We start from the raw sequence: 25,346 nt of genomic DNA on the forward strand, positions 1-25,346 counted from the left end.
AGTTTTTCCCTGAAACTAAATGAATTTAAGCCTCACCTTAAAGGTTAGTAGAATTAGATTTCTGCTCTCAAGCACTTCATGAGACCTTTAAAACCAGAACTCATTAATTCAACAACAACCTGGACCAAATACAAGAGCAGATGCTGACAGCTTACAAAGGGCCTCTATATCCACTGCCTTCCTTAACTCTTAGAATAAATATCCAATAGAGGATCACCATACCCATTTCTCAGGAGAGGAAACCGAGGCTCAGAGAAACAAAGTGACTTGCCCAAGGTGATACATGATCAGTGAGGCAGAGTCGGGCTCTGACTCTGGCCTCAGCTGCCTCTGAAAGATATAAGCCTGACCCCACGCTTGTACTTCCACTTTAAAAGATTAGCAGACAACAGATAAAGCTTTGGGAATTAAAACAATAATTTTTCTAACTTCCTTTAAATGGAAAAAAAAAGAAAAGGCACTGCTACCACAGGCATTCCATTCTGTCTTCCTTTGAATTTAATTGGCCAGACCAGCATGCACCAGTCAAAGATAATGCTATTATTCCAAGGAGATAATGTATTCAATCCTGCCACGAGCAAAATAACAAGAACCAGTTACCCTCAGTTTAGAATGGTCACGCCTAAGCAAAGACAGAGAGAGAGCAAGAAAGAGAAACAGAGCACCAGGCAGAGTCCCAGGACTGGGCACAGAACCCCAGGCGAAGCTGTGGCTACCTCGGCAGGAGTGGTCCATCTTGTTGAACTGAAAGTATCCCGACTTGCACTGGCACAGGGCAACGCCGTCCAGGTCAGTGCAGATGGAGGTGTCTTTGTCACATTCGGGACTCTTCCGCTTGCACAAGCTGCCCGCTGGAATGGAAAAACAAGACAGTGAAACAAAACAAAACCTTCTCCACTTCAAACCTTAAAATCTCCTCCACTTCAAAGCTCATGTGTCTGCATGAACTCTCTATTTCAAGAGGCTGAGAACAGTTTTCCGAAAAGTCTCCACAGAGCAACACTCCTCTCAGGAGTCCATCTGTACTGCCTTCTGCCACTCCTTCTCTGATCAGCCGCAGGCTGTGCACCAGTGTTCCCCGTTGAAAACACCCTCACAGCGTGCCACGGACCCACTGAGAAACGAAATTGGAATAAACAGGCCCTGTTCACTCCTCTGGTGCTCACTGCAAATACAGCCCTTAATGGCCCCGTGTCTTCCAAAGGACTGCGGAGGAAGGATCAGCACAACCAGAAAATACGGCTGAGTTCTTAGGAAGCCGAGACTTGGACTAAGAACAGGAGTGCAGGCCAGACCTGTTTCAAGTGGAAGTACATCTCAGCTCTGTGTGTCTGCATGGCCTAAAAAGGGACCTAGAACCACTCCCTGTGGCAAGGTGGCTTGCTGTCCTGACAGCGTGCTGCCTACAAGAGACTGGTGATGAGGAGAGATCTGAAAGACAATCTGCTTGCCCCGGGCTGTAGTGTAATTCTGCTTATCAGGCAGTTTCCCCCACTCCACTGATGGGTTCTTGAGGCTTCTTCATCTCTGGGTCTTCAGTGCCTGGCACAGGGACTGGTTGGTACACATGGCCGCCTGTCACTGACCAGGCAGAGAGAAACAGAGGCAGGCAGAGAAGGAGCCCATCTTTCAGGCTTGCTACCTTGTTTACTTTAGGGCCTTATTCATCTCATGGATGACAAAGAATCATTTCATTATTATCAGAAAGCATTTCCTGTGGGGCATATGGCCCTCTGTGAAGTTGTGTACAGCAGACACAATGAGGGTGCATAGGCCTCCTGTGTATATGGGGTACACAGAGAACAGAACAAAAATAGGAAACCAACTGGATAGTGGATAGTACCTTATTTACACCCATGTGCAGGGCAAGGCAAGCTAGATATTTGCTGTTGTTATTGGGGGGCAAGCTCAAGTTCAGAATGGGAAGAAAGATGCAAGGGGAAGGGCCATGTATCTATTGTGCAGGGAGGAATGGCTGCCAATTTTCCAGGCATGGTCTCCCATTTCCCACCCAAAGGAGGAAGCCAACCTATTCAGAAGCCAGGTACCCCTTTTAATGCTGCAAAACTGCCCCTGCCCAGGCAGGTTTTGGTGACATGAGCTGCCACCCCACATGGGGTTCCTGAAATCTGCCCCCTTTTGTGAGTCCTGAGAACTCAGGACCGGTAGACAGCCTGGTCACACGAGGTAAGCTTAGGACACAACTCTAGTTCTCAAAGCTGAATTTCCTGCCTTTATCAGTGGAAGCTAGCGTGCTCAATCAGAACCACATTTGTGTGTGTGACAGAATTTCCTTTGTTTATTGTAAAAAGTTTGTATTTAAGGGAGAAAAATTAAAAATGGAAAATCTCACCAGGCAAACACTGCAAAGCTGGCACCAGGGAGGTAATGAACTTCCACAATCCCTCATCTCAACTCTTTGAAGGCTTTGCCAGTCCTCAAGCCTTAATATAAAGAAATTCCTCCAGGGCAGAAACCTGTCCAGGCTGACACTTGCCTTGTCCAGCAGCCAGCCAGAGTTGCCTGGCCTGATTAGATATTTTCTGGAAGCCAATGTCACGTTTTCCTTCCACCCTGCCCATTAATCCAGCCTGCTGGCAAATCACTCTGCTGGAGCAACTGTGCCCTGCACAGAAGCAGATCCATGCAAAAGCATGGGACACAGGCCCTGCCTCTGCAGTGGAGGAGTTGCTACCCTACAAATTCTCAAAGAATATTCTACCATAAATTCATCCAATAGGACCACGTAGAATCCCATTTTCATATAAAGCCTGGCAATGTGATTTTGCTACATTCACAATTCCCATGGTCTTTCCTGGGCATAACATCCGCCAAAACAGACAATGAGACTCTAAGTAAATCTAAAGCTGAGACATTCCATGGGGGATTTCCAAAGACTAAACCTCTGGAGATGACAAGAGCTGCAGTTCTTTGAAAGGCAAGGAAGTGGATATTTTATGAAGTGAAGACAGAAAACCCTCCTTTCCAATGGCAGTGTCCAGAGTAGCCCAGCACTGCCCTTATGCTGGAAACACCCAGATGTCAGAAGCTGTCAAGGCCACCTCTCTAGTACTCAGAAAGGTTAGCATGAGACCAGGCTGGTCTTGGCAAAACCTGGAGAAGACCTGGGAGGAAAAACAGGGAAACAAGCCTGTTTTTTTCAGCTAATATGCATAGCTGTCTTTGTTCTCACGGGCTCTGAAAGGAGAAGTAAATAGGAACTTCAGCAAGGCAGCAAGGGTGAGAGGTACTTTCCCATAAACCATATACAAGCAGTCGGAAGAATGGGAGTCAGAGGGTGGGTAGGGCTGCCATGAGCAGGCTCTTTCAAATCCAAATGGCTGGCACTTGATTTGCAAGGCACTTGATTTGAATGCATTTATGGGAAACAAAAAGTAACCTGGTGCAATGTTGATCACATAGAATGTATTCCATAAATATTTAGTGAACTGAAAGGTGACTTTCCTACCTCACTGGGGAGGACAACTTGGTACCCTTGAATCCTTGTCAAGAGAAACAAAAAAGTAAAACCATAGAGTCTCAAAGTTTCGAGCATGATATAATGGGGCATGACCTTTCTACCTCACTCCCCCATCAATAGTAACTTCAACTTCAGAAAGTTTAGCTTTTTTTTTTTTTCTCAGATTAATAACTAGCCTTAAATGGGCCAAGCTCCAGCTCTTATCCCAGAATGAAGGGCTAACAATCTGGCTCCCAAGCTCTGTAATATACAGGCCCACTCCAGAAAGCTCTCTTGACTGGAAGTTATGGAACCCAGGCCCACTGGGAATGTCAATGTCATGGATCTACCAGCAGACTGTTACAACCTGATATCTTCTACTCATGTCCAGCGTCTGGATGCCAGATGGGTGGTTTAGACTAGATTCTCCATCCTTTGCCAGCCCTACTTGTGTAGTAAAATGAGCTAACTTTGATCATGTAGCACGTGGCAACAGGGACAAGCCCCCTTTGCAAAGAAGTACTTTAGATTCCAGTTGAGTTTTCCTGTCCTGGAGGTGAAACTTCTCCTCTAAGACCAAAACTTCCCTTTTGAACTTGTCTCCAATCCCTTTCTTCATTTGCCTCACACCAGAGGCACTATAGAAGCTTTTGACAAAACAGACAAAGCAAGAATGAGAAAAGGAAAATAATTGTTTATGGCGCCACTGTGGGCATTCTGGCCTCCATTCTTCTGGTTTTGTTTCTGTGCATTTATAATGTGCAAACAAACAAACACAAAGGATGGGTAATACTGCACATGCTTTTTTTTTTTTTAACCTAATAATGTATCATGATGAAGGTTTTGGTGGTGGTTGTTTATTCTGTTTTTTGAGGCAGGGTCTCACTCTGTGGCCCAGGCTGGGGTGCAGTGGTGCAATCATAGCTCATTGCAGCCTCGAACTCCTGGGCTTAAGGGTACCTCAGCCTCCCATAGTACTGGGATTACAGGTGTGAGCCACTGCCTCTGGCCAGATGAAGGTTTTTTTGGGTCATTGACAAGCATGTACATTCTGTTTCCCCAAAGAGAGCAGGAACTTTTCAGTGGAAAAAGAGTGATTTCTGCTTTGTCACATCAGCTCCTATGCCCCTCCCCCTCCCACATCAACACTGGATAAAATAAACAGAAGGAGCTGCATGCCAAGGACCAGGTGTCTTCAAGGCTTGTGTACAGGACTCTGGGTGTGTGTGTGCATGTTTGTACATGCATGCACACATAAAAGAAGATGCATGTGCACAAAGGTCTTTGACTTAACACCCATGCCAAAAATAGGCTCTGTGAGGGCCTTTCCTGGGCCTGAGCCCTGGATGCCTTGCATTTCCATCTTAGGTCTGTGCCTAACTATATGGGTAGGATCCTCCCAGAGGGCTGCCCTCTTACCTCTAAAGATCCGCCTCTGAGATCCCAAGAGCTGGCAGACCTCAGCAGAGGACTTGCAGGAGTTGACACATTTCTGCATCCTATCAGCCAGGTCAAATAGCGTCACATTGGAGGCCAGGGAAAAGGTTGTTTGCAGTGAGATCACCACCGCGTTGGACTCCCTATAGGCAAAGTTTGTGGGTTTTTAACAGCCCTGAAATGACACGTGGGTCCCAAGGCTTTTGGAAATGAATGTCATCGCCATTCACCAGTGACGGGATGGGAGAGCATGAAGGTCAGTGACCTTGGCCCTGGATTGCCCCATGGCTGGGTGAAAACAGCCCGGTTTTGTTGCTATCACCCATGTTAGAACAGCCTCCCCTTTGTACAGACTAGTTCACAAGCAAATATAATTCTGTTACTTACCTAGAGGCGTGAACTGTAGATCGGATGTAACTAGGTAACGCTGAAAAACACATATTTAACTGAAAGGAAGAACAAGCCTGTCGTTAACAGTGAGTTAGACAAAAGCCTTGGACCTAGAACCAGTTTCCTATTTTCAGGATAAAACAGGCATTTTCCAGCCATCAAGTTATCAGCACGCGGCTTTGCACAGAAGTGGTGTCCTTTTTTTGTTCCCCTCTTAAATGCCTTTCTGTTGTTCCATGAGTACAAAGAGAAAGAGGCAGAGAGTAAATCAGTGGGGAAAATCTTGGCAGGAAATGATGTTCAGAATAGCACCCTTGGATGCAAAACATCTTCAAAGAAGCAGCTCTCTTTTAAGGCCCAGGGTTTCAAACAACTCAGAGGCAACTGTTTATTTGGACTCTGCATAGTGAACGAGCTGCACTGGAAAGGCTCCTTTCAGCTACTCTAGGTCTGACAGGCCCTACATAGACGCCTCATAATCTACAATGAGTTGACCTAACTCAAAGACAGGTCTTCTTCAAAAAGGCTCTCCGTGAGAAATTACATTATGTGGGTCAAGAGCCCCTTTGTTGAGAGCAAATTAAGAGCTACTCTCCCTATGTTTGCCTTGTGCCCTTGGAGACGGCAGAAAATCCCTCTACAGCATGAAATATCAGGCCTGCTTCCCTGCTACCCTGCACAATAGGAGCTATCGAGACTCCTTTCCCGGAGTGGAGGGTCTCAGTACTGGGCCCAGTGCAGATCCACCTGTGTTCAAGGCCCATGTATCAGATACATGCCACTCTGCAGAAGATGGAGGCAAACATGGGACATTATCAAACCCTTTCTATGACATCAGTGTATAGCCTAATAGCAATGATTTATTATTGTTGTTTTATTATTAACCTGTTTTTCCAGGTTTGGTAAACAGAACACCTCGGGAAAGAACATTTGAGTGGCTTCCTCAGCCAATGATGGATTAATCTTCACTCTTTCTTGGGGACAGGTATGTTACATCACCAGTAAATTATACATTGATACTGGGCAAAAAATAGCAAGTCAAATAAGTCACTGAGCGCCACGTAATGCAAAGGACTGCACTTCTGCAAAGGGTTCTAAATCCCTGTATTATCTTAGCAGGAGATATCCACCTGCAGCACGACCAACAGGCAGCTGTGGCGAAGGGACAAGTATAGGATTAGTAGACATAAAATTCTGCTGTGTAGTAAAGAATTTAACCTTGGCCCCAGGGAAGTCAGGCCTTTGCTCTTGGATCCTGGGAGGCCATCTCTAAGCCCTTGGAATGTGCTGTCTAATAAAAACTTCTTTGTTTACCTGGGGGTGCTGGGCCATGCCAGAGAGTCCAACAATGTGATTTATGGTGGGGTTGGGTAACATGGTATCAGCTCAACCTCTAGAGGGGCTGGAGATTGAGGTCAGCCACATGACAAAGCCCCAGTCAAGGCTCTGGAGAGCTTCCGTGGTTGGCAGTACTCCCTGCATACTGGACACACTGTTGCCAGGAGGAGTTAACACTGTGCATGACTCCTCAGCGGGACGACAGCTGGAAGCTCTGCCTTTGGAACTCTCCCGGACTCTCTGCCCCGTGCATCTCTTTCCTTGGCTGATTTTAAGCTGTTGACTTTCACTGTAATAAACCGTAGCTGTTAATATAATCGCTTTTAGTAAGCTCTGTGACTCCTCTAGTGAATTATTGAAACTGAGGGCGATCTTGGGGATGCCTGAACTTGAAATTGGTATCAGTAGTGATGGTGGTTTAGTGGACTGTTCCCCAACTTTGCACCTGCTCTGCGTGGACTCAGGCAATGTCATTCACTTCCAGACCTCCCGGGGTTCTATCTGCAGATGTGCTGGCAATGCCTGTTACAGGAGTGCGCCATCTGACATCGTCCCTATCATGAAGTGAATGCTCAGGAGATAGAGAAATAGAACTAGATCCGTATTTTACACAGATAAAGTCCAAAGTCCTGTAGAAATGTATAATTCCTAGCTAATATACTAACTCTTATCCACAAAGAACAAGTAACATTGAGATTGGAAATCAATTCATCTCTAAAGTTTTTTAATGGCAAATTTCAATTTTCTGAACCTAGAGTTTAAGAACTCACTGTATAGATGAGTCAAATCTCTGACTCAGATAGCAGTTGAGAAGCAAAGTTTATTATATGAGCTTCATTTTCCTGTCTTCTTTCTTCCTCTCCATTTTCCTTTTTAGTTGTTTCTGTTTTGGGGGGTTTCTTTTGTTTTTGAGACAGGGTCTCACTCTGTCACCCAGGCTGGAGTGCAGTTGTTCGATCACGGCTCACCACAGCCTCAACCTCTGGGGCTCATGTAATCTTCCCACCTCAGCCTCCTGAGTAGCTGGGACCACACGTGCACGCCACCAACCCTAGCTAACTTTTGTCTTTTTTGTAGAGACAGGGTCTTGCCATGCTGCCCAGGATGGCATTTTTCTTTAAAAAAAAAAAAATTCTGATAAAAAGCGGGCAAAGAGGGAAAGAAGCAGAATCAAAGACCCCTCGGTCATCTATACAGTGAGTTCTCAAACCCTAGGACATCAGGATTAACTGCTGCACCTTTGGCATTCCTTTGAGGAAAAAGAGTATCATTTCCCTAAGTTCCAAAATACAAGAGGAAAGTCACACAGCCTGTTAACAGCAGATGGGACCGTAAGATTTTTCTGGGTCTTTCCTCCTCACCAACAGCTCCTGCTGATGCCTGTCATCAGCATGTCTGTAACTATGAGTTTGCACATGGAAAAGAAACACAAAGGTGCAGATAAAGACTGTGCATGAGGACACATTTGAAGAAACTCTTCTACTGGGCACAAATACCTCACTTCCATTTCTGAAAGGCTTTTTCTTTAACCAAGAAGTTTCCCTTCCAAATATAACAAAAGTGAAGAGCCCAGGAGACACAGCTGACCGCTAGGCAGTCCCCTCTTGGAATAAAATCTGTTCTAGGAAACAAAAGACGAGTAGAAAGATGCCATTCAGGACACTTACCGTTTTGGTGATCTCATTTTCAACTTCTTGTAGGTCTGAATGTTTTTCCACAGTTGTATTAAGAAAAGTTCTCTTTAATTTAAACTCTGTCACGAAGGTTCTAACTGAAAATGAAAATGTAACTTGTTAGATTACACAACAGAAGAACCTATGCAAGGCTGTGTGTTTGCACATCTCTGGGGTGTCCGGCTTTACTCCACCTCACAGGACAATCTCTGCATTTCTTTCTCCTTATGGGTGAAGACTCCCTCTCCCTCTTCTAGATTTTTCTCTAGCAAAGTGAGCATCTACTGGACTGTGCTGAAGGCTTAGATTGAGCAAACTTTTGAGAGAGAGAGAAACTCCAAAGAGCCTTTTTTGTATGTGCAAGGCTGCTAAGAGGAGGAGCCTTAGCAATGTCCCTAGGATGGCCTCCCGCACAATAGATGCCCAAGAAAGCTGCTACAAAGAAGAAAGATGAACAGGTCTAAACAATGTCATCCTAGGAGGAGGGAGGGAGATGTGTTAGACACTAAAAATGCTCCTCAGGCCTCATCAGGCTTTCGACAGAGGAAAGCTCTCGTCCTCTGAGGTCTCCAACTGAGTCATGCCCACCACTTCAAGGGGGTGCTTCAGTTTCCTCTTGTCCTTAGAGCCACACCCATCCAAACCCCATTCCTCTTGGTCAGAGGAAATTCCCATTTTATCATTGATAAAGGGGGCTTCCAGAGGTCAGGCAACTTCCTAAGAAAGCTCACCCAGGCTCCCAAGGGCCACCACTGGCATTGGAGCGTATGCGTGTCCATCTTCAAAGCTCTCCTTTCCCCTATAACCTCTGTGCCCTGAGGAATCTGATATCCTAAGGACACCCAAGGGACTTGAGAGAAAGAAAGGTGCCAAGCATGTGTCGTGGGGCTATACTCCATGGGGCTGCCGACTCCATGATTATAAGCCACATAATGAAAACAGCCCATATTCAAGACACTGTTGGGTTCGGAAATGAAAAAAAGCAGCCTCATTTTCAAGGCCCATTTCACTCATAAAATAAAATTCCAGTTAACATCAATTTGTGCTGATTGAGCCTGAGGGGAACGGGACTTACAAATGGGCAGGCAACCAAAATTTAGTATGGTGTGTTTTATTGCTGGCTCTTATCTTCCTTTATATTAAATGCTTATCTTTCCCTCCGGATGGAAAACAAATAACTCAAGACACAGAAGTCCATGAAGCTGCTCTTTCCCCGAAAGCCTGCATGCCGAATTGAGAAAAAGACCCACAAATGAGCCAGGGAAAACATTTAACATCTTACACTTACTGTCTAAAGCGCTTAATCCTTACTTAACATCTTTTTGCTTGTTCTACAGTTCAGTGAAGCCAGCTGCTTAGGACTCTTTCTGAGCAGCAGGGAGCTCTCTGAAAACATTCTTGGCCAAATGAAAGCATTTCAGCATGCTCTAATTTGCATGTTCCTCTGATGTTTATGAACAATGAAGCTAAATGACTTGAAAAGGGAAAGATGATTGTGAAGGCGATAGTGCTGCTCTCCTCCTGAGCTGTGCTACCTGTGGAACCCTCTGCACGCAGGCTTCCAGAACAATGGTCCTGCTTCTTCACTTTCTCATCTCACGTGTCTAGGCTGATACCCAGACTCTCTGTATAGAAATTCACATCGCAGGCCGGGCGCGGTGGCTCACGCCTGTAATCCCAGCACTTTGGGAGGCCGAGGCGGGCGGATCACGAGGTCAGGAGATCGAGACCATCCCGGCTAAAACGGTGAAACCCCGTCTCTACTAAAAATACAAAAAATTAGCCGGGCGTAGTGGCGGGCGCCTGTAGTCCCAGCTACTTGGGAGGCTGAGGCAGGAGAATGGCGTGAACCCGGGAGGCGGAGCTTGCAGTGAGCCGAGATCCCGCCACTGCACTCCAGCCTGGGCGACAGAGCGAGACTCCGTCTCAAAAAAAAAAAAAAAAAAAAAAGAAATTCACATCGCAAATGTCAGGTACGTAGATCTATTCTGAGTCAGGACAGTAAACGTGGCATCTGCTTTTGGTGTGAATATAAAGATATATCAGTTTCATTCCAAACCCTGCACTCACTCCAGGCAGAGTTTTTTGTTGTTTTTTTTTAAAGACACTTACACCTTTACGCCTGCAGTTACAGCACCTGGCTTTAAGTAGAAGTTTTACTTCCAATTTAAATGTTGATTTCCCTATGTTATCTAAATGATTTTTTTGGGAAAGAGCCATAATTATTACTTTGTATTCAGCACAGTTTATTGTTTTCAATGCTTTCAATTCTGGTCCAAGAGTTTGAAGACTAAAGTTAAATGGTACCTCCCATCTGGACAGCTCTTTACCATTTTCAAAGCTTGCTCAAATATATTACTTTACTTGATCTTCACAATAATCTTGAGTGGGAAGCAGGACAGATGGTAATCTGATTTTACAGATGAGGAAATATAGGGCTCAGAAGCCATGTGCTATAGGTGGTGGCCCTGGAGCTAGAAGCAAATCATTTGAGTCCTGGGCAAATACACTTTCCCCACAATCCTTAAAAATAAAATCATTTCCAGCTTCTCTATTCTTAAACTGAAAACTCCTGGCAATATCTTAGTGCGTGGCTAAATAGTTTACTAAAATGCAAGTAAATTATTAGAATAAAAGAAATTCTTTTTTTTTTTTTTGAGACAGAGTCTCACTGTGCAGCCCAGGCTGGAATGTAGTGATACAATCTCGACTCACCACAACCTCCAGCTGCCGGGTTCAAGCAATTCTCATGCCTTGGCCTCCCAAATAGCTAGGACCACAGGTGTGTGCCACCATGCCTGGCTAATTTGTGTAATTTTAGTAGAGTCAGGGTTTGACCATGTGGACCAGGCTGGTCTTGAATTCCTGATCTCAAGTGATCAGCCCGCCTCAGCCTGCCAAAGTGTTGGGATTACAGGCATAAGCCACTACACCAGGCCAGAATGAGAGAAATTCTTGATTTTGACTGATGTCTCTATTTCTAGATCCTTCTTTTTGAAACAATGTTTTGACTTGATCTTTGTATTTTAAACAATTTTCAAAATTCTACCATTATTTTGGTAGGGTACTTCTTAAAAATTCTCTTCAGCCCACAGGTAATAGCACTTTCAAAGGATACAGACATTTGCTCTCTCAAAAACACTGAGCACTTTTTGTGTGTTAAGTGTCACACTGGGCAATTTAAGATGACTGAAAGATGAGTTATTTTATCTGCCAGTTTCCTTACTTAGCTTAGAAACTCTGTATCTGGCCAGGCACAGTAGCTCACACCTGTAATCCCAGCACGTTGGGAGGCCAAGGCAGGCAGATCACTTGAGGTCAGGAGTTCGAGAGCATGGCCAACATGGCAAAGCCCCTTCTATACTAAAAATACAAAAATCAGCTGGGCATGGTGGTGCATGCCTGTAATCCCAGCTATTTGGAGGCTGAGGCATGAAAATCGCTTGAACCTGGAAGGTGGAGGTCGCAGAGAGCTGAGATGGTGCCACTGCACCACAGCCTGGGCAACAGAGTGAGACTCCGTCTCAAAAAAAACAAAAAACAAAAAACACAAAAACAAAAAACTCTGTATCTTTCATTTCTAACTTCTTCAACAAGTTATGTATTAAACTTGACATTCTAACAAGGGTCACACCCTGCAAGCAAGAAAGCTCCTAAAGTTAACACATTATCATGTAATAGAAAGAGCTGTGGGCTGGGAACCAGGCTTCCCACCAACCCGTTACGTAAGCTTGGCCACTTAGCACCTTGTGAAGGCCTTGGTTTTCGTTTGGTTTGTTTGCTTGCTTTTTAACTTGTAAAATGGAGATTATTTTCAAAATCAAACAGCTTCATCATGAATCTATCAAATTAGTGAACAAAATATGACAAATTGTGTGATACAGTTAGGACAGCAGCTTTCTCAAAATGTATCTGCCTATGAGCAAGAGCATGAAGGTCATTTTTAAAAACTGAAAGAATGTGTGAATGTGGTAGGACAATCAGAGTTTTACTCTCTCTTTTCTCCATCTAAATTGTTTTTTTTTTTTTTATTATGTGGTCAGAATAATCCTTTTGACTTTTTTTTTCCTAGCTCCAGGGTGGAGTGGTTAAGCAAATAATATTATACACAAATGATGGCATAATATGCCGTCATTAAGATGTTTGTACAATGTTTTTAACAACACAGGAAAATGTTTAAGATATAAAGTTTATACAGATATCCTATGATTTCAACTATGTAAAAATATACTGCACATCAAAAACATAATGCAAAGTAGGGTGTTCTATCTCCAAGTATTAGAATAATGGACAATAGCTTCCACTTTTTTCTATATTCCTTAAGTTTATACCTTGGACAAATACTGATTTTGGTTAGCAAGAAAAATAACAAATGTTACCTTGTAAAATATATTGTGGTACGGAATAAAGTCCGAAATAGACTAAGTCTCTTACCCAAATTGCATATCCCTTTTTCCAACTGGTACCCAACCGGGCATTTGCAGATAAAGGATCCCTGAGTATTGTTGCACATGGCTGTGGATGGGCAGGGGTTCGACAGGCACTCATTCACATCTGTAGAGGAGAAAAAAGAAGAACATCTTGCATCTGTAGCAAACAGCAAAACCATAACCCAGTGTAGTAAGTACTTACTAAGGGCCAAATGGTGCTAGGTGTGGTGAGACCCCAAAGGATAAGTATGAGAACACTCTTGCCCTCAAGGGGCTTGCCATCTATTGAGGGTGGAGGTGGCCACATAAACAACTAACTGTAAATACAAGACAAGATTTGCATATACGGGGGAAACAGCAAATTTTAATGGAGGGGAGAATTAAAGACTGTTTCACATAACATCTGGACTACAACTGGAAGGACTTTAATCAATAGATTAGGGTGGCAGTGGGGGGATTCCAGCCTGAGGCATCAGCACAGTAAAGTCCAGGGGCAGGAATAGGGTACAGTGTGGCAGGAGTGTTGGGAACAGACACAGATCAGGAAGTCTGGCAGTGCCACACTACAGTTCCTGACATTCTCCTGCAGATCACAACCTACAAACATGCTGACTCTCAAGTAAGCAGGGTATTAACTAAAACAGTGTATTTGTCCACATTTTGGAGGAAAAAGGAGTTTATTGGGTAGCCCAACGTGGTACTGTGGTGCAGACCACTGGGCGTTACTTTTTCTCTTACCCACACTGCAATCATCCCCTTGCCAGGAAGGCGGGCACCTGCAGTGGTAGCCACGGCTGGTGTTGTCTGCGACGCATTCGCCATTGTGAAGACAAGGGTTCACAGCACAGCTGTTGACTACAAACACATTCCAGGAGTAAAGCAGTTAACCACACAGGAAATGTAAAGGCAGCTTTAGGTAAATATTTAATTCTCCCAGCTAATATTTGATTCTTGCTTATTTCTGTTTACTTGCCCTGAAAGGCCACATTACAAAAGTAAAATGGGTTTCCCAGAGGTGCATTGGGACTGGGTCCTGGTACTAGCTTGTGTCCAGATCTAAGTGTCAGACAATGGGATCCCTGAATGCAAGAACTGATTGTAATCAAATGCTGCTTACAGGTCACTCCATTCAGGATTGATGATTATATTGCCTTTGTGACACTTAAGAAAATTCTACTTGAATCAATGCCAATTGAAAGCACACTTTAGGGGGGAAAAGGATCTCTGATCAACTCATTCCCCCGCTAGAAGATTTACTCTGTATACGTGTGTCTGTGTGTCTGTGCACACGTGCCCTGCCCTTTCTCTTGGGCTTTCTTTATCAAAATCATAGTATCCTTTACTCCAAAATCTCCAAATGTAACTCAGCCTCCACATATTGTGCCATATTTAGAAAATGATCAGAGTTGAGCAGCTATGTAATATGCTTCATACAGGTTTCTGACATACTTAGAGAAGCCGAAGCCTACAACATAACTGCATTGTCTGCAAAAAGGAAATCAGTGGTGGAATGAAAAAAAGAAGGTAAAAGTCAAGTCTTCACTCAAAAAAAAAAAATAGTAACCCTGAAAACAAATGAGCTAAACCTAAAGATGGTGTTCCTATCCTGTATTGCCATGTCAAGTGTTATCTAAAATCACCCATAGAAGCACAGCACTTATATAGCCAAACACTAACCCATGAACACTGGCACAAAAAATATAGTAACAGCCAGTGAATCTGCCCCTAATACTTGCCTACAGTTATCATCAGAATGGCTAATGGCTTTAAGGGAGACTTGTGAATTAGATTTCATCTGGCACTGGAATATATGTGGCCTCTGAAACTGAAGGCTATAGGCCTTGAAGCAAGGCTCCCAAACTTCCCTGGAGAAACAGCCACCTTTCATTTCCCAGAGGTGCTCAGATCACTGATACAAAGGGGCACTGTGGGGCTTGGCATGGGGGTGGTTTGCTTATGAGCCTCCAGCCCAGGTTGATTGTGGCTGACAGGTTGGAACTGTGCTGCTCCCTGAGCTTTCTGCTCCAGCCACTACAAAGCATCATCTCTTCTTTCCTTCTTCCCTAAGACGCCAGTTTCCATTTCACTCCTCCAACAGCAGTTTTCCTTTCCCATGTCTGGACAAGCCAGAAGTGTAACTTTGAACATGACATGAAAAGCTGCATCATCCTACTTCCTTCTACCGTTCCTTAAATGACAAAGGATCATTTGGCTGGCTTTACTTTCCTGGTACCAGCAACTTCAACGTGGCTACAAAAACAACCCTAAGTGTGATGTAAAGGAGCTCTGGCCGTGCGGTCACTGTGGGAAAAGGTTAGTTCACCATCTTTTCATTTACATGTCTCCCCACTCCCATTTATCAACTAGCCACACACTCTTTCGGAGACAAAGGAGCTTGGGCTTCCCTGGATCAAGAGAAGCCCAGTGACGCCAAGAAGCTCCCTGGTGACTGGGGAGCCCCTGACTCAGAGACTCTGGGATCTGATCCAGACGCAGATACCCAGTTGATCCCTGTGTCAGCCAGGCCTCCTAAGCTTCTTTACTTGAGTTTCTCCACCCTACAATCCTGCATCACTGCCCTCCTCTGACCTCTGAGGAGTTAACGGCATGCTTGAAAAGCTCTTACAACTACAGGGCACTAAAAGCTGCAATTGTACCATCTACTAATGTGACACATGGCCAATGCATCCTTTCCTCTTTATTCAGGAAGCATTATACAACACAGGGGTGAGAAAATTAGGCCCACCCATGACCTTCTTTTACACTTTAAGTGTTTCAATAGGAAGCATTTTAGGTCGCAAAACAGAAGCTATTTCAAATGCCAGCCATTTCTACAAATTCACATGAACCCCGAGCCCCATGTAGCTCTCAGTGCTGGACTGGGCCTTGCAGTTAACATGTGCTTGTGTGACTGTGTTTTACCTGAGGCTGAAGAGGACACTGTTGTTGGTGACTGTGTGCTGCTCTGAACAGCAAAGGTGGCAGATTTGGGAGCCAAGTCTTCAGCCGTGGAAACAACTGTGGTTTGGGGAGAAGGAGATGTTCCGAGGGAACGTGAAGCTGGGCTGTACTCTGCTGTAACGCCAAGCTTTGTGGTCATTTCTTTTGCTGATGTGGGTACACTGGTCAAAGGGATCAATCCAGTGGTAGCATCCACAATCACTCGGTTCCTTTCTGTGCTGATGCCACCTTCTGTTGAGATTTGAGGAACTAGTATTTCAGGATGGGTCAGCGAGAGCTGTTTTCCAGCTGTAGTCTGTACGGCTATAGGGCCAGTGACCAGAGATGCTGTGCTTGACAGGGTGCCAGGAGTGGTCATAAGAGGCTGAGAGGTCTTCAGAATGGTAGTTGTGAAAGTTGGAGACATTTGTGCTAAGTTGGTGCTTGTGGCTGGAAGGGTTTGCTCTGTGGAGGACTCTGTTAAGGATGGAGGCAAAGGAGAGTTTGTTGTTACAGCTTTGGTGGACTCTGTGGGCAGAGACACCAGGCTTGGTGACTTTGATTCTGTAATGACTTTCTCTTGGTGTGGGGTGCTCTGGCTCTTAAGGTCTGCAGTTTGACTACTATGGAGCATTGTCATGAATGATGTCATTGTTGATGTCTGAAATGAAGTCACAGGAGTCTCCCTTGCCCTGGGCAGGACAGGGGTAGAAGATGACTGTGGCAAGGTTGTTTGTGAGACAGAAAGTGGGGCAGATGTAGATGTCGTTAAGGATACTGGTAAAGGTGATGGTGAGGAAGACCATGGTGTGGATGCATCAGAGGTAGACTTTAGTAGATGCACAGAGGCCCTGGTTGATGGTAAAATTGATGAAAATAAATGGTGGGATTGTGACACAGAGGGCAGAGGCAAAGGAGGCCCTGAAGAAGAAGAAGAGGAGGAGGAGGAAGAGGAGGAGGAGGAGTCACTAACAAACTCAGCATCAGTGTCCAGAACAACCGAAGTGTTCGGCATATTAATGGTGGGTGTGTAGGACGGAAGGTTGGATGTATGCAGAACTGGCGACTCAGTAGAAGGCTGAGCATATTCCCCGTCATAGGATGAGATGTTACTTCTCTCAGTCTGAGCATGAAAAAAGGAGGAATACTCTGAATGTGAAGAGTTTGAGATTTTAATATAAGAAGTTGAGCTCTCCACAATGTCTGAGGATGAACTGTTATCTGTAATGGACAGTAACGCCCGTTCTCCTTTGGTGAAAGTAGATGACAGGTAGGTGTGGTCTGTGTGGTCGCTGGAAGTCCTTTGTTCAATAGCTGTGCCACGCACTTGACCGTAGCTAATCCCAGCGACTGTAAACGGAAAAGCCAAAGTTAGGTCAAATAAAAGAACAACAAAACTCTGAAATATGCACTATCAAACAGACTTTCAGTGTCATGAAACTCAATGAATTCAAGTGGGTGAAACACTTGCTTTGGAGAGGTGGTTTTCAAGGGTGAGCACTCTGAATAAAGACATTGTGGGCAGGCAGGAGTGGTCAGTGTCTCCTCTGAGCAGACTGACCTCCTGAGAGAAGCAGTGGTAGCGGCAGTGGAAATGGTAACAAAAGAGAAGTGGGGACTAAGGGTCTAAAAATGGAGAGGAGTTGCAAATTTCCTCCACATGCCTTTTTCGATAAAAGCAAACTGGTATCTGAAAAGCTCTTAAGACCCCAAATAGAATAACTGTTATGCCTAAATGAAAAAAGGAAAATCTTCCCAACTTTCCATTCTATAGAATGAGATATTTCTTTCCCAGGAGATTGACCTTAGCCACAAGTGGTTGGTCTCTTATTTTAAGTCTCCCAGCAAACACTATCCCAAATTCCTTAGGTGAGTGTGTGTGGAGGGCTGGGGGTGGGAACTGGGGAGGGGTATTCACCTTCCTGAGGTGGGAGAATCTAGAAAGTTCTCTCCATAAAGAGCTTGTAAGGCACTTTCTGGCTTGACAGCTAACTGAATCATCCCAGGACGGTGAGTAAATTAATAGATGAGCTGAAGGGATGTGTTAAAAGAGACTGTGGAAGACACCCCACCTCCGAGTGCACTGGAGGCGGCCAGTGACCGTGAGACCAGGCCCATGTCGTCCGTCACGTTTACGTGCAGAGAGGCACCCTCTGTTTCTTGGTGCATGGCCGCTGCAGGGCTGCCTGCTTCCCCAGAAGTCGTGCTCATGCTGGTGTTGGTGAGGGTGACAGACCGCAGTGTGCGTTCCCCGTTTCCAGTGACAGTAGCCAAGGTGTGGGTGCCGAGAGAGGGCACCCCAGAAGTCCTGTCCTCTGCATTGGCGGAACTGTCACCTAGTGCTTGGCCTGGCTCTCGGCTGTCTTCCAAGGCTAAAAGTAGAGTGAAAGAGGATGGCTGAAAAATGCAGGGCTGGAGCGACAGGATCGTGCCCCAAGCCTCACTTCCTGGGCTGTGGGAGCCAAGACGCTCCCCTGTACTTTTAGGGTCTTTATCTGAGATGTCTGTTGCCCTTGCAAACATGGCTCAGTGATTGAAACCTCAAGAGGAACTGTGGATCAGCACAACTGTTCAGGCACCCTGGATTTATAGGAGGGTATATTACTTTAGCAAATAGGATCGATACTAGATTTCTGCTCAGTGATACATAATAAATAGAGTTTATGTCAGAGAAATTGGTAGTGGTGGTGAGGAGGTAAACAGTTGGTGAAAGACTAATAATCCTACTGGGGCTTCAGACATTTGCACAAGGCCCAGAAGGGAGGCCATAGTCCTCCTTGGAAGGCTCTTCCTCCCGGAAGGACCAGGAATACATGAATGGCCACAAGGCCAGTCATTACACGGCATTAGTACAATGGCAAAGAAACAGCCTGAGGTGGGGGGTGAAAGGTGGGCTTGTTTTTTTGTCTTCTTTTATTTTTTAAAATGCATGTGTTTTATTCTATTGATGGGGATGGAAGAGGGCAGACGACACATGAATAAATGTCTGTTTCATTCTCTTTTGGGTATGTGTTTATGCTACAAACCTAAAGGGTCTTAGAACTAATTTTAGATTGTTAGATTATCAGATAAACCCTTCTCTTCAGAAATGATGAAAATGAGGTCCAATTCTCCTTGGCCTAAATCCTTCCTAATCTGGCTGTACAAAAAGAAAAAAAAACCCAAAAAACAAAAAACAGGCTCTTTTCTGGTTCTTATTCACATTCCCAGCCCAGACTGGCTGTCAGTACGCCATGGCCATGCTTTGATGGAAAACAGTGTAAAGCTGAGTGTTGGCTAAATTCATTTTGGGATAGGTTTGAATTGACAGAGACAGGAATGAGCACGGGCCACGAGCATCACTGAGAAAGCCAGAAGCCAGACAGAGATGCGACTCAAGCCAGTCTGAAGGGCTCAAGACCTGTGGAGAGCCAACCAGGAGAGGCGCAAGAGCAGGATCTAAGTACGATTTCTCTGGGCAAAGAGAAAAAGGTCTTGGATGGGGAGATCCTAAACTCTCTGTTAAATGAAATTTAGGCCAATGACCACATCAGGGTTACAGGCTTAACAAAGTAGAGAGAGAGTCAGACATGAAATGGAGACTCTGAATGCAGAAAAGGGAGCGGGCCAAGAACTCTAAAAGGCCGGAGTGCAGAACCCCGCCAGCTTTGGGTGACTCTGAGGGAAAAAGATAAAGTATTGTGTTAACCCACAGTGAGATGGTTTCAGGAATGTGGCTACTTTCTATCTAGCTCTTTATAAATGAACTCCAAGATCTGATCACACTGAAATCATATGTTCCTCATGAACCAACTGAGCATTAATTGCAGAGAAGCGGGTACTGAAGAGATGTAAAAGAGAAAGGCTATGAAACTCAAGATCCTGGTTTGAGAAGGTAGAAGTCCTGACCCCCACAGTAGTGAGGGTGAAAAATGATTCCTTTTGCTTAGGACATAGATAATGTGTTTTCCAGGCACAAACATAAAAGAGCATAAATATCCCCCGCTTGTGTGTGTGGTATTCTTTCATGATAAGCATATGCTTTTCCACATCACGTGAGTACTAATAAATGCTAATCTTCCTCATCAATTAGGATTCTTATATGGGGGAAATGAAGCTATAACTAGTGATGGAGAAGTAAGAATTTAAACCTATTCAAAGCTTAAATGATCAGCTAATACATTTTTGCTTTAGTCAGAATATACTTTACATTGATAACAGACTGTGAGAATTGTTTTAAAAAATTATCCCTAAGCATTATTAAAAAGAAACATCAAAAGAAAAATTTTCTCAAATTGACAAATTGGACTTCTTCAAATTTAAAAACTTTTGTGCTACAAATGATTCCATCAAGAAAGAGAAAAGACAACCCACAGAATAGGAGAAATGTCTGCAAATTATATATTTGATAAAGGACTGTATCCAAAATATGCAAAGAACTTTTTTTTTTTTTTTGAGACAGGGTCTGTTTGTCACCCAGGCTAGAGTGCAGTGGCATGATCTCAGTTCACTGCAACCTCCACCTCACAGGTTCAAGTGATTCTCCTGCCTCAGCCTCCCAAGTAGCTGAGATTACAGGCACGTGCCACTATGTCTGGCTAATTTTTGTATTTTTAGTAGAGACAGGGTTTTGCCATGTTGGCCGGGCTGGTCTTGAACTCCTGACCTCAAGTGATTCACCCGCCTTGACCTCCCAAAGTGCTGGGATTACAGGCGTAAGCCACCACAGCCGGCCATAAAGAACTCTTACAATTTAATAATAAAAAGTCAAATAACCCAATTTTAATAGTCAAAAGATTGGACTAGACATATTCAAAGAAGATATACAAGTGGCCAATAAGCACATGAAAAGATGCTCAGCATTATTAGTCAACTGGAAAATACAAGTCAAAACCACAATGAGATGCCTCCACCCCCACTCAGATGGCTATAATCAGAAAAGATGGATAATTACAAGTGTTGGTGAAGATGTAGCAACATCAGAACACTTGTACACAGCTGGTGGGAATATAAAATGATGCAGCCACTTTGGAAAAGAGTTCGGCAGTTCCTCAGAAGGTTAAAAATAGAGCAGCCACAGCCACATAACCTGGCCATTCCTAAATAATTGAAAATTTATGGCCAGGCATGGTGGCTCATGCCTGCAATCCCAGCACTTTGGGAGGCTGAAGCAGGCGGATCATGAGGTCAGGAGATCGGGACCATCCTGGCTAACATGGTGAAACCCTGTCTCTACTGAAAATATAAAAAAAAAAAAAAATTAGCCAGGCGTGGTGGTGGGCACCTGTAGTCCCAGCTACTCGGGAGGCTGAGGCAGGAGAATGGCGTGAACCCGGAAGTCGGAGATTGCAGTGAGCCGGGATGGTGCCACTGCACTCTAGCCTGGGCAACAGAGAGAGACTCCATCTCAAAAAAAAAAAAATAAATTGAAAATTTACGACCACATATACACTTGTACCTGAATGTTCACCACAGCATTATTCATAATAGCCAAAAGGTGGGAACAACCCAAACATCCATCAATTGATGACAATTGATAAACAAAGTGTGGTATATCCCTGCTACGGCATATTATTAAGCCACGAAAAGGAACGAAGTTGTGATACAACGTGGATGAACCTTGAAAACATGACACTAAGGGAAAGACACAAAGGACCACATATTGTATGATTTCATTTATAGGAAATGTCTAAAATGGACAAATCTACAGAGACAGAAAGCACAGGAGTGATTGCCAGGGGCTGGGAGGAGGGGAGAATGGGAGTTGACTGCTGATGAGTTTGGAGTTTCTTTGTGGGGTGATGGAAATGCTCTGGAATTAGACAGTGGTGATGCTGCACAGCTTTGTGACTACACTAAAAATCACTGAATTGTGTGCTTTAAATGGGCAAATACTATGGAATATGAAATATACCTCAATAAAGCTGGTTTTTAAAAAACAGAGAATTTATTTGGATGAATGCCCCGACAACTACTAACGAGAAGGTGATATTTTCACCTTCCAGAAGCTCTGTGACTGAGGCAGGTATGGAGTTATGGGTTGGCTACAGGGAATGAGAGGATGTGGACAGAGAAGTCCCTGAGCTGTGTGTGGGAAGAGGAAGTGGCAAGAACAGCTTCTCAGAGATGTACCAGAAAAAACTGGGGGATATATAGGTGTATCTGTATCAACCAGCTAGAAGAAGGGCCTGGGAAATAAGGAAGGAAGGTGGAGGGGCCTGAGGAGTTATTTCATTCATGCATGCTTTTTTTTTTTTTTTTTTTTTGAGACACTTTCGCTTTTGTCGCCCAGGCTGGAGTGCAGTGGTGCGATCTCAGCTAACTGCAACCTCCACCTCCTGGGTTCAAACGATTCTCCTGCCTCAGCCTCCCAAGTAGCTGGGATTACAGGTGCCTGCCATCACACCCGGCTAATTTTTTGTATTGTTAGTAGAGACAGGGTTTCACCATGTAGGTCAGTCAGGTCTTGAACCCCTCACCTCAGATGATCCACCCACCTCGGCCTCCCAAAGTGCTGGGATTACAGGCGTGAGCCACCACGCTAGGCCCTCATGCGTGGTTTTAATACGCCACAGATTTCATAAGCATCATGAGTCCCTCTCTCCTCTATGGGGCACAGTTGCATGAAATGGAAAAACTCACTCGAACGTTCTCCACGTGGTGCTGATGAATTCAAGCTTTCCGAGGAAGATGTAGATGAAGACTCTGAATAACTCCTATCTCCCAATGCTGTGTGACTTCCTCCAGACTGTACAGTAGAGTCTGAGAACTGGGTCAACACTGAAGCATTCACACCTTCAGGATATGAAGCAGAGCTTCCTGTCACATCTGCAGATGTTGTGCTGTTGGTCAAGAGCCAGTGTGCAGTGATCTCTCCACCTCTCATGGGTGCGACTGACCTAGACACAGTCTCAGTCTGAGACATGGGACTTCCATTTTGCACCTCAGAGCTGCTGGCAAGCTGATGTTCTCCAAAGGCTGTAAGGTAATATAGGAAAAAAAGGCCATTACATAGGTATGAAAGAGATCCCTTGGCAACTAAGAAGTGAGACCTCTCTAGGGAAAGATTCTTTGCCAAGGAACCTGGTATAGTGTTTATTAAATGTATTATGCACTATCATATTCTAAATAATTATTTCAAAACTCTTGGGTGGCAGCAAGAGAGTAATACAAAAAAATATAACTTGTTGAACAGGGGACCTTTGAAATAGCATGTGCAAGTAGCAAAGTAACCTATAGGCTTGAGTGTTTCATTCTCTTTCCCATAAAAAGTGTTCGAGAGAGTGAGTGTGTGGTTATGTACAACAAATACAATGCAAATAAATATAGCACAGTCAGAGCACTTTCCTAAAACAGTTCTCATATGAATAAAGGTTATTCTAAATACCAAAGTATAGCAAAAACAAAAATCAATTATAAGGATTAAGCCAAACCACGAATTTGGGAATAATATTTATATCTGCACATTTATGCAGAAAGATGATCTGTACACAAAATAACTGAAGCTAGTTTGAAGAGTGGGCCAGGCTGTGTGCAGTGGCTCATGCCTGTAATCCCAGCACTTTGGGAGGGCAAGGCAGGAGGATTGCTTAGGGCCAGAGCTCAAGACCAGCCTGGGCAACATTGCAAGACCCCATCTCTACAAAAAATAGAAAAATTAGCTGGATGGAGTGGCATGCACCTGTAGTCCCAGCTACTCTGGAGGCTAAGGTGAGAGATCACCTGAGCCTGGAGAGGTTGAGGCTGCAGTGAGCCGTAATCATGCCAATGCACTCTAGCCTGGGTGACAGAGCCAGACATTGTCTTCAAAACAAAATAAAACATAAAGAGTAGGCCGGCTCTCAGCTTGAAGACCATCCTGTAGAGTGAAAAGAAGATGGAACCAAGAACCCTGAGGCTAAGGTCTCAACTCTACTGAGTGAGCTAAATGGCCAGGCACCCATTACTTAAACACTCAGAGCCGTAGTTTTCTCATCTATAAGAAAGCAGGAGGAATGACACCTGTCTGACTAACTTCACAATGTTCTCATAAGAGTGACCATCAAAATGCAATAGTGCCATTAAAAAGCACACTTTTCTCTGGAGATTACAAATGGTCTTGAAGAGGTCCCCTAAGAAAATTCAATGATTTACAAATGTCCCTAATAGATCAAGTAAAGATGGAATACTTACTTGGGGAATCATTTTGCCAACGCAAAGACGTAAGTCCAAATTCATTTTCTGTGGATGGTTCAATGAATTCCTCATCCCCTGGATTCCCAGTTACTCTACTGTTTCTTCTCGATTCCACTGCAGAGGGTGAAAGAAGGACTGAGGATGAAGTCGTGGCAATTCTGGAGTCCTTGGGGAAGCCTTCTGTCTTGCTCACAGGTCCCAGACTGACCGTCAAAGATCGCAGCGTTCTCGGGCCACCATCAGTGAACACGGTGGCAACATGCATTGTCTTTGTTTGACTGACTGAGGAGCTCTGGAGGCCAGTGGAGTTGTTAAGCTTCTCTGTACTTTCAGAAGCTACAATGGAAAAAGATATGCTTCAAAATTACTCAGGAGTTTAAGAAAATCCGGACTATATTCGAGATACAAATGACGTTTCTTACATTTTGGTGGATACATCTAAATACCATGGACCTAATATAGATACAAACATATCTATACACACGCATGCTACCAGGACACATGCCTGCACTCTCCCCTTACTAGGTCTAATCCTCACAGAGGAAGGTGGAGAACACCGAGATCCCTCACCAGGCACAATGAGAAGCTTATACGTTGTTTGCATTATTTGTTTTTTAAAGAGAAAGATGAAAATGTCTGCTGAATTCTACATTACAGCTTAAACAGGACTGGCCACTGTGATAAGGTTTTTGTTATTTTGTTCTGCTTTGTTTTAGCAATGTAACCTTTTTGTTCAAATGCTATTATTGATTAAAATCTCATAATATAAAATGAATAAAAGTGAAGCTGCTGCAAGGTGCCCCACCCCAGGTCACTGTTGAGGAGGCCGAGGGTTTTGCAGAACACAGCTGGGACACTCATGGCCTAGAGCAGTAATTCCTAGGCTTGTCACCATCAAGGGTTCTTTATTTTTCCCTACCTCATGGCCACCATAAGCCCTATGTTTTGAAAGACTATTAACCAAACTGCATTTATTAAGTAACAGAATTTCTAACCAGCAGGAAATACTTATTATTACCCCACAAATTTAATTCCACCCAAAAGCAAACAGGCTTCATTATCATACTTTGCCCCATTAAGCTTTAGAGACCAGCTCTCAAATCTGCATACTACTCCAATGGGCCCCTCAGAGATCAAGGACTCCAGGAGCATTTGCTCTAATAGATGGATGGCTGCCATGGGGAAACTGTCAAGAGCCTCAAGGAGTGAATCAGACGCTATTGGTCAAAAGGTGTAGTCTGCTCCACATAAGTACGGGTGTCTCCTTTCCACAAATAACTTTCCAAAGGATGCCCTGAGAACTGACCTCCAGAAAGGTCTATTAAAATCTTCATTCCAAACGGGAATAAACTGCAGGAAAGCTTAGGGAATGGAAAGAAACATGGTGGGTAAGACTAAAGTCACAAAAAGAGAGTGTTTTTCTTCTTTTTAGGCTAAAAATAATAAAAAGTACTCTACACTTATATAATAAAAGGCTTTGAGCTGTTAATTATGGCCTAGAAAAGGGAAAAAGGAAGTTGTCAT

At 44.2% G+C, this 25,346-nt stretch overlaps 1 protein-coding gene across 1 annotated transcript in view, besides 2 other annotated features; it reads right to left on the reverse strand.

Annotated features, from left to right (window-relative positions):
- The window catches only part of HEG1 (heart development protein with EGF like domains 1), a 90,288-nt gene that overhangs the window by 31,263 nt on the left and 33,679 nt on the right, over positions 1-25,346 (reverse strand). Inside the window, exons 4-12 of the mRNA NM_020733.2 lie at positions 23,820-24,158; positions 22,290-22,625; positions 15,651-17,018; positions 13,467-13,583; positions 12,733-12,852; positions 8,293-8,396; positions 5,285-5,343; positions 4,880-5,040; positions 717-851 (exon numbers count right to left, since the gene is read on the reverse strand). Coding sequence (NP_065784.1) covers positions 717-851; positions 4,880-5,040; positions 5,285-5,343; positions 8,293-8,396; positions 12,733-12,852; positions 13,467-13,583; positions 15,651-17,018; positions 22,290-22,625; positions 23,820-24,158 — 2,739 coding nt within the window. The remainder of the gene's footprint in view (positions 1-716; positions 852-4,879; positions 5,041-5,284; positions 5,344-8,292; positions 8,397-12,732; positions 12,853-13,466; positions 13,584-15,650; positions 17,019-22,289; positions 22,626-23,819; positions 24,159-25,346) is intronic.
- Positions 4,359-5,558: an enhancer, noted in NCBI's record as "MED14-independent group 3 enhancer chr3:124720175-124721374 (GRCh37/hg19 assembly coordinates)". NCBI's record gives its function as "activates an origin of replication core promoter dependent on BRD2, BRD4, P300/CBP and CDK7 cofactors, and independent of MED14, by STARR-seq in HCT116 cells {active_cell/tissue: HCT116}" and the evidence as "EXISTENCE:reporter gene assay evidence [ECO:0000049][PMID:35650434]".
- Positions 17,673-17,967: an enhancer, noted in NCBI's record as "tiled region #1791; HepG2 Activating non-DNase unmatched - State 15:Elon". NCBI's record gives its function as "activates a minimal TATA promoter and a strong SV40 promoter by Sharpr-MPRA in HepG2 cells {active_cell/tissue: HepG2}" and the evidence as "EXISTENCE:reporter gene assay evidence [ECO:0000049][PMID:27701403]".

This window comes from Homo sapiens, chromosome 3 (assembly GCF_000001405.40).
Source record: "Homo sapiens chromosome 3, GRCh38.p14 Primary Assembly".
Lineage (NCBI taxonomy): Eukaryota > Metazoa > Chordata > Mammalia > Primates > Hominidae > Homo > Homo sapiens.